This window comes from Homo sapiens, chromosome X, assembly GCF_000001405.40.
Source record: "Homo sapiens chromosome X, GRCh38.p14 Primary Assembly".
Lineage (NCBI taxonomy): Eukaryota > Metazoa > Chordata > Mammalia > Primates > Hominidae > Homo > Homo sapiens.
The window spans coordinates 1814487-1823830 of NC_000023.11; positions in this window are offsets into that span (position 1 = coordinate 1814487).

Sequence of the window (9344 nt, forward strand, 5' to 3'; positions counted from 1 at the left end):
GGGAGGCCGAGGTGGGTGGATCACCTGAGGTCGGGAGTTCGAGACCAGCCTGGCCAACATGCTGAAACCTTGTCTCTACTTGAAAAATGAGTGAATTGTGTGGGATGTGAATTATATCTGAATAGAACAATCTTTTTTCTTTTTCTTTTGGCCGATTTTCTTTTTCTTTTGGTTTCTTTTGATCTGATGGTTTTACAAATGGGAGTTCCCCTGATAATGTCTCACTCTGTCACCCAGGCTCAAGTGCAGTGGCACGATCATAGCTCACTGCAGCCTCGATCTCCTGGGCTCAGGTAACCCTCCCACCTCAGTGTCAGCATAGCTGGGACCGCAGGTGTGCACCACCATGCCCAGTTAATTTATTTTTTCTAATCTGTAGAGACTTAAAAAAAATATATATATATATATATATGGAGGCCGATGCGGGTAGATCACCTGAGGTCAGGAGTTCGAGACCAGCCTGACCAGCATGGCGAAACCCCATCTATAGTAAAAGTACAAAATTACCTGGGCGTGGTGACTCCTGCCTGTAATCCCAGCTACTCAAGAGGCTGAGGCAGGAGAATTGCTTGAAGCTGCTAGGCGGAGGTTGCAGTGAGTGGAGACCTCACCACTGCACTCCAGTTTGGGTGACAGAGCAAGACTCCATCTCAAAAATAAAATAAAATAAAATAAAAGTGCATATAAAAGGTATGTTTATAACCATATTGTAGCCTATTAAACGTGCAATAGCATTATGTCTTAAAAATATGCATGCTTTAATTTAAATCTACTTTTTTCTTAATTATAGTTTAAGTTCTAGGGTACATGCGCACAACGTGCATGTTTGTTACATATGTATACATGTGCCATGTTGGTGTGCTGCACCCATGAACTCATCATTTACATTAGGTATATCTCCTAATGCTATCCCTCCCCCCTCCCCCTACCCCAATTTCAAATCTATTTTATTGCTAAAAAAGCTAATAGATTTTCTCCATGGGTGGGGTTACGACATTCCTGCAATTTGTAAACAACAACAACAAATAGTGTCTGACGGTGCCATAAAGCAAACTGCAATCAAATGAGGCATGCCTGTATAGACACACTTTGGCATCCATTCAATTCTTTATCTAACCAGAATATATATGTAATTTTCATTATTTATTTATTTTAATTTTTAATTTTTTTATTCTTTGATATTTTATTTTATTTTATTTTATTTTATTTTATTTTGAGACAGAGTCTCGCTCTGTCTCCCAGGCTGGAGTGCAATGACCCTATTTTGGCTCACTGCAAACTCCACCTCTGGGGTTCAAGTGATTCTCCAGCCTCAGCCTCCTGAGTAGCTGGGATTACAGGCATTCACCACCAGGCCTGGCTAACTTTGTATATTTAGTAGAGACGGGGTTTCGTCATGTTGGCCAGGCTAGTCTCGAACTCCTGGCCGAGGTGATCCGCTCGCTTCAGCCTCCCAAAGTGCTGGGATGACACGTGTGAGCCACCGTGCCTGGCCCAAATCTTTCAAGCCGGCTGTCAGCAGGCATCCGTGTCAGGTCCACCTGTCCGTCCAGCTCCAAGCTGATTGTCAGCCACTGCACAGGCTGAAAAAAATGGACTTTAATATCTGTGAAAACCTCGTTGGCTCAAAGGAAACTGTAGCAAATTCTTTTTTTTTATTTTTGTTTTTTAACTCAAAGAGTGGAGTTTGCATTGACCTTGTGATGGCACGCTGCTCTTTTGTTTTGGTGTAAATCCTCTAGTGGGCACTTTGCAAAAGCAATTTTAGAGCAAAGGTGGTGGCATGGAGTTGTGTGAGGTTGCTGAAAAGTAGCAAATGGAAGAAAGGTTAATGGAGCTGGATTTCTACAAAGGACGTCCTTTGAGGAGATCCACAGCAGCAACAATCACAGAGCAGCTTGCGTTTCCTATTCTGGGGACTTGGAGCACTTGATTGTAAGGAAGAAAGTGTGAGTGGGCACAAGGCTGGTGGTCACAATAAAAAGAACAACAGTAATAATATGATACTACCACTGCATGAGAGCAGTAATAACAACAACAGTAATACAATACCACCGCCGTGTGAGAGCAGTAATAACTACAACAGTAATACGATACCACCGCTGCATGAGAGCAGTCATAATCACAACAGTAATATGATACTACCGCCGCATGAGAGCAACAACAGTAATATGATACTACTGCCGCATGAGAGCAGTAATAACAACAGTAATATGATACTACCACTACATGAGAGCAGTCATAATCACAACAGTAACATGACACCACCGCCGCATCAGAGCAGTAATAACAACAACAGTAATATGATACTACCGCCGCATGAGAGCAGTAATAACAACACTAATATGATACTACCACTACATGAGAGCAGTCATAATCACAACAGTAACATGACACCACCGCCGCATGAGCAGTAATAACAACAACAGTAATATGATACTACCGCCGCATGAGAGCAGTAATCACAACAGTAATATGATACTACCGCTGCATGAGAGCAGTAATAACAGTAATATGATACTACCGCCGCATGAGAGCAGTAATAACAGTAATATGATACTACCGCCGCATGAGAGCAGTAATAACAACAGTAATATGATACTACCGCCGCATGAGAGCAGTCATAATCACAACAGTAATATGATACTACCGCCGCATGGGAGCAGTAATAACAACAACAGTAATATGATACTACCGCCGCATGAGAGCAGTAATAACAACAGTAATATGATACTACCGCTGCATGAGAGCAGTAATAACAGTAATATGATACTACCGCCGCATGAGAGCAGTAATAACAACAGTAATATGATACTACCACTACATGAGAGCAGTCATAATCACAACAGTAATATGATACTACCACTACATGAGAGCAGTCATAATCACAACAGTAATATGATACTACCACTACATGAGAGCAGTCATAATCACAACAGTAATATGATACTACCGCCGCATGGGAGCAGTAATCACAACAGTAATATGATACTACCGTTGCATGAGAGCAGTAATAACAACAACAGTAATATGATACTACCGCCACATGAGAGCAGTAATCACAACAGTAATATGATACTACCGCCGCATGAGAGCAGTCATAATCACAACAGTAATATGATACTACCGCCACATGAGAGCAGTAATAACAACAGTAATATGATACTACCACTACATGAGAGCAGTCATAATCACAACAGTAATATGATACTACCACTACATGAGAGCAGTCATAATCACAACAGTAATATGATACTACCACTACATGAGAGCAGTCATAATCACAACAGTAATATGATACTACCGCTGCATGAGAGCAGTAATAACAACAGTAATATGATACTACCGCCGCATGAGAGCAACAACAGTAATATGATACTACTGCCGCATGAGAGCAGTAATAACAACAGTAATATGATACTACCGCCGCATGAGAGCAGTAATAACAACAGTAATATGATACTACCACTACATGAGAGCAGTCATAATCACAACAGTAATATGATACTACCGCCGCATGAGAGCAGTAATCACAACAGTAATATGATACTACCGCTGCATGAGAGCAGTAATAACAGTAATATGATACTACCGCCACATGAGAGCAGTAATAACAGTAATATGATACTACCGCCGCATGAGAGCAGTAATAACAACAGTAATATGATACTACCGCCGCATGAGCAGTCATAATCACAACAGTAATATGATACTACCACTACATGAGAGCAGTCATAATCACAACAGTAATATGATACTACCGCTGCATGAGAGCAGTAATAACAACAGTAATATGATACTACCGCCGCATGAGAGCAGTAATAACAGTAATATGATACTACCGCCGCATGAGAGCAGTCATAACAGTAATATGATACTACCGCCGCATGAGAGCAGTAATAACAACAGTAATATGATACTACCGCTGCATGAGAGCAGTAATAACAACAGTAATATGATACTACCACTACATGAGAGCAGTCATAATCACAACAGTAATATGATACTACCGCCGCATGGGAGCAGTAATCACAACAGTAATATGATACTACCGTTGCATGAGAGCAGTAATAACAACAACAGTAATATGATACTACCGCCGCATGAGAGCAGTCATAATCACAACAGTAATATGATACTACCGCCGCATGAGAGCAGTCATAATCACAACAGTAATATGATACTACCGCCACATGAGAGCAGTAATAACAACAGTAATATGATACTACCACTACATGAGAGCAGTCATAATCACAACAGTAATATGATACTACCACTACATGAGAGCAGTCATAATCACAACAGTAATATGATACTACCACTACATGAGAGCAGTCATAATCACAACAGTAATATGATACTACCGCTGCATGAGAGCAGTAATAACAACAGTAATATGATACTACCGCCACATGAGAGCAGTAATAATCACAACAGTAATATGATACTACCGCCGCATGAGAGCAGTAATCACAACAGTAATATGATACTACCGCCACATGAGAGCAGTAATAACAGTAATATGATACTACCGCCACATGAGAGCAGTAATCACAACAGTAATATGATACTACCACTACATGAGAGCAGTCATAATCACAACAGTAATATGATACTACCGCTGCATGAGAGCAGTAATAACAACAGTAATATGATACTACCGCCACATGAGAGCAGTAATAATCACAACAGTAATATGATACTACCACTACATGAGAGCAGTCATAATCACAACAGTAATATGATACTACCGCCACATGAGAGCAGTAATAACAACAGTAATATGATACTACCGCCGCATGAGAGCAGTAATAACAACAGTAATATGATACTACCGCCACATGAGAGCAGTAATAACAGTAATATGATACTACCGCCACATGAGAGCAGTAATCACAACAGTAATATGATACTACCACTACATGAGAGCAGTCATAATCACAACAGTAATATGATACTACCGCCGCATGAGCAGTAATAACAGTAATATGATACTACCGCCGCATGAGAGCAGTAATAACAACAGTAATATGATACTACCACTACATGAGAGCAGTAATAATCACAACAGTAACATGACACCACCGCCACATGAGAGCAGTAATAACAACAGCAATATACTACCGCCGCATGAGAGCAGTAATAACAACAGTAGTATGATACTACCACTACATGAGAGCAGTCATAATCACAACAGTAATATGATACTACCGCCGCATGAGAGCAGTAATAACAGTAATATGATACTACCGCCGCATGAGAGCAGTAATAACAGTAATATGATACTACCGCCGCATGAGAGCAGTAATAACAAGAGTAATATGATACCACCACCGCATGAGAGCAGTAATAACAACAGTAATATGATACCACCGCCACATGAGAGCAGTAATAACAACAGTAATATGATACTACCACTACATGAGAGCAGTCATAATCACAACAGTAATATGATACTACCACTACATGAGAGCAGTCATAATCACAACAGTAATATGATACTACCGCCGCATGAGAGCAGTAATAACAGTAATATGATACTACCGCCACATGAGAGCAGTCATAATCACAACAGTAATATGATACTACCGCCGCATGAGAGCAGTAATCACAACAGTAATATGATACTACCGCCACATGAGAGCAGTCATAATCACAACAGTAATATGATACTACCACTACATGAGAGCAGTCATAATCACAACAGTAATATGATACTACCACTACATGAGAGCAGTAATAACAACAGTAATATGATACTACCGCCACATGAGAGCAGTCATAATCACAACAGTAATATGATACTACCGCTGCATGAGAGCAGTAATAACAAGAGTAATATGATACCACCGCCACATGAGAGCAGTAATAACAACAGTAATATGATACTACCACCGCAGGAGAGCAGTAGTAGGAGTAATAATAAAGTTAACAGCAGCAGCCCGGTCTGGTGGCTCACGCCTGTCATCCCAGCACTTTGGGAGTCCGAGGCAGGTGGATCACTTGAGATCAGGAGATAGAGACCATCCTGGCTAACATGGTGAAACCCCATCTCTACTAAAAATACAAAAAATTAGCTGGGCGTGGTGGCAGGTGCCTGTCATCCCAGCTACTCGGGAGACTGAGGCAGGAGAATCGCGTGAACCCGGGAGATGGAGCTTGCAGTGAGTCGAGATTGCGCCACTGCACTCCAGCCTGGGCGACAGAATGAGACTCCATCTCAAAAATAATAATAATAAAAAAAATAAAAACAAGAGTAATAATATTATACTACCACCGCATGAGAGCAGTAGTGAGAGTAAGAATAAAAGTAACAGCAGCAGCCGGGTGTGTTGGCTCACGCCTGTCATCCCAGCACTTTGGGAGTCCGAGGCGGGCAGATCAGTTAAGGTCAGGAGATGGAGACCAACCTGGCTAACATGGTGAAACCCTGTCTCTACTAAAAATACAAACAATTAACCAGGCGTGCTGGCAGACACCTGTAATCCCAGCTACTCGGGAGGCTGAGGCAGGAGAATCAGGTAAACCCAGGAGGCGGAGGTTGCAGTGAGCTGAGATCATCTCACTGCACTCCAGCCTGGGTGACCGAGTGAAATTCTGTCTCAAAAAAAGAAAGAAAGAAAGAAAGAAATGTAATCCCCAAAGTGGCAGTATTGGAAAATGGTTCTGTTAAGAGGTGACAGGGCCATGAGACCTTTGCCCTCATGAATGGATTACTCCACACATAGATTAATGAATTAATGGGTTAATAGATTAAGTGTTTATCATGCAAATGTACTGACCTAAGCCAAGATGTGGATATTATGGGGTTTCACCCATGCTGCCATAGCAAAGTCTCACAGACTAGGTGGCTTAACCAACAGACATTGATTCTCCCACAGTCCTGGAGGCTGCAAGTCTGAGATCCAGGTGTGGGCAGGGCTGGTTCCTCCTGAGGCCTCTCTCCTTGGCTTGGAGACACTGTCTTCTCCCTGCAGCCTCACAGGGTCATCCCTCTGTGTGTGTCTGTGTCCTCACCTCCTCTTCTTATGAGATGCCTTAGTCCATTTCAGGCTGCTAACACAGAATACCATAGACTGGGTGACTTATAAACAACAGACATTGATTCTCCCACAGTCCTGGAGGCTGGAAGTCTGAGATCCAGGTATGGGCAGGGCTGGTTCCTCCTGAGGCCTCTCTCCTGGGCTTGTAGACGCCGTCTTCTCCCTGTGCCCTCACAGGGTCATCCCTCTGTGTGTGTCTGTGTCCTCACCTCTTCTTCTTATGAGATGCCTTAGTCCATTTCAGGCTGCTAACACAGAATACCATAGACTGGGTGACTTATGAGCAACAGACATTGATTCTCCCACAGTCAAGACAGGGGAAGACCATGGAGAGGAGGGTCATGTATCTGTAACTCTTGAACATTTTATTCCAGGATCAAGTAAACGTGCCAATATTTGGGTTAGCTTTCTGCTTTTTCTCCGGCAAAACACGACAATTTACACTGCATTGAATTTAAGGATGGTTGCTTTCTCCTTGACATGCCAACAGAACAAACAGGGTCTCCGATTCTGAAATGACTCCAGATTTGGGAGACAAAGTTGTGTCAGCCAATTTCTACAGATGCTGTCTGTAGACTCTGCTTGTGCCTGCATTTGGCTTTACAGATTCAGGCTGTGTTTCTGGAGCCGCCTCGCACGTTCTCCTCTATTGAGATTATAAAATTATCAAAAGCTTGAAGGTAAATGCTCTCTGTTGACTCAACACGATTACAACTTTGTGTGTGTGTGTTTGCTGCAGTGCAGCGCACAAGTTTTATAGGACAACCTGAGCCTTCATTTCTTCAGTTTGACATTCTGAGTTTAAGACAAAGGGAATGATCACCCCGCCGTGTTCTTGGTAAAGGAAGAGTGTTAGAGCATCATGGCAGTATTCTTCCAGCCTCCAGGAAGAGAAGCTTTTAAAATGACAATTTCTGATTTGACATTTTCACTTGTAACACCCTAGAGGTATAGGCAGGTCTTGCATCTGCAAAAGGTTATTGCTGTGGAGAATTGGGAGCTGTGGTAAATGAAGTGTGACCGCCTTGCCCACAGTAAGGCAGGGAAGACAAGAGAATGTAAAAAATGTGAATACCTTGAGGAAGACAGTGTGCTAATTCCTCAAGGATCTAGAACCAGAAGTACCTTTTGACCCAGCAATCCCATTACTGGGTATATACCCAAAGGATTATAAGTCATTCTACTATAAAGACTCATGCACACTTATGTTTATTGTGGCACTGTTCACAATAGCAAAAACTTGGAACCAACCCAAATGCTCATCAGTGATAGTCTGGATAAAGAAAATGTAGCACATATACACCATGGAATACTCTGCAGCCATCAAAAGGAACAAAATCATGTCCTTTGCAGGGACAGGGATGAAGCTGGAAACCATCATCCTCAGCAAACTAACACAAGAACAGAAAACCAAACACTGCATGTTCTCACTCATAAGTGGGAGTTGAACAATGAGAACACATGGACACAGGGAGGGGAACATCACACACCAGAACCTGTCAGGGGAGGGGGGCTAGGGGAGGGATAGCATTAGGGGAAATACCTTATGTATATAATGGGTTGATGGGTGCAGCAAACCACCATGGCACATGTATACCTATGTAACAAAACTGCCCACGCTGCACATGTACCCCAGAACTTAAAGTATAATTTAAAAAAAAAAAGAAAAAAAATGTGCAATACTCACCAGATGATGTTCCAAGTTGTTTAGCTGCAATAGTGACTGGCTTAATGCATTAGTTTGCCCCCCTTTTTCCTTATTATTTTGTTATCCCAAAAAACCTTTCCTACAGGGGCTAAGAATATATGGGAAATTCCAATATACCATTTCTGGGGAAACCCAAGCAAATAACAGACAGGGGTTATGGCCACACCGTGCTTTCTGGATATTTGTACTATTACGAGTGGAAATGTGTCCTATGCCAAATTCATAGATTGACGTCCTAAATCTCAGTTCCTCAGACTGTGATCTTGTTTGGAAGTACATCATTGCAGATGTAATTAATTAGTTCTGTTAGGATGAGGTCAGGCTGGAGTCAAATGGGCCCCTAATCTAATATAAATGTTGTCTTCATCCATTTGAGCATCTATCACGAGATGTCATAAATTGGGTTGGTTTGAAATAACGGGAGTTTATCACTCACAGCTCTGTTGGCTAGAATTTCAAGATCAAAGGGTGGAAGATTCAGTGTGTGGGAACGGCTTCCTGGTTCACAGACGGTGCCTTCTCACTATGCCCTTACATGGTACCGCCTCCGCCAACAGGGAACAGATTTCAGCATGAGACCCAAACACCTCCAC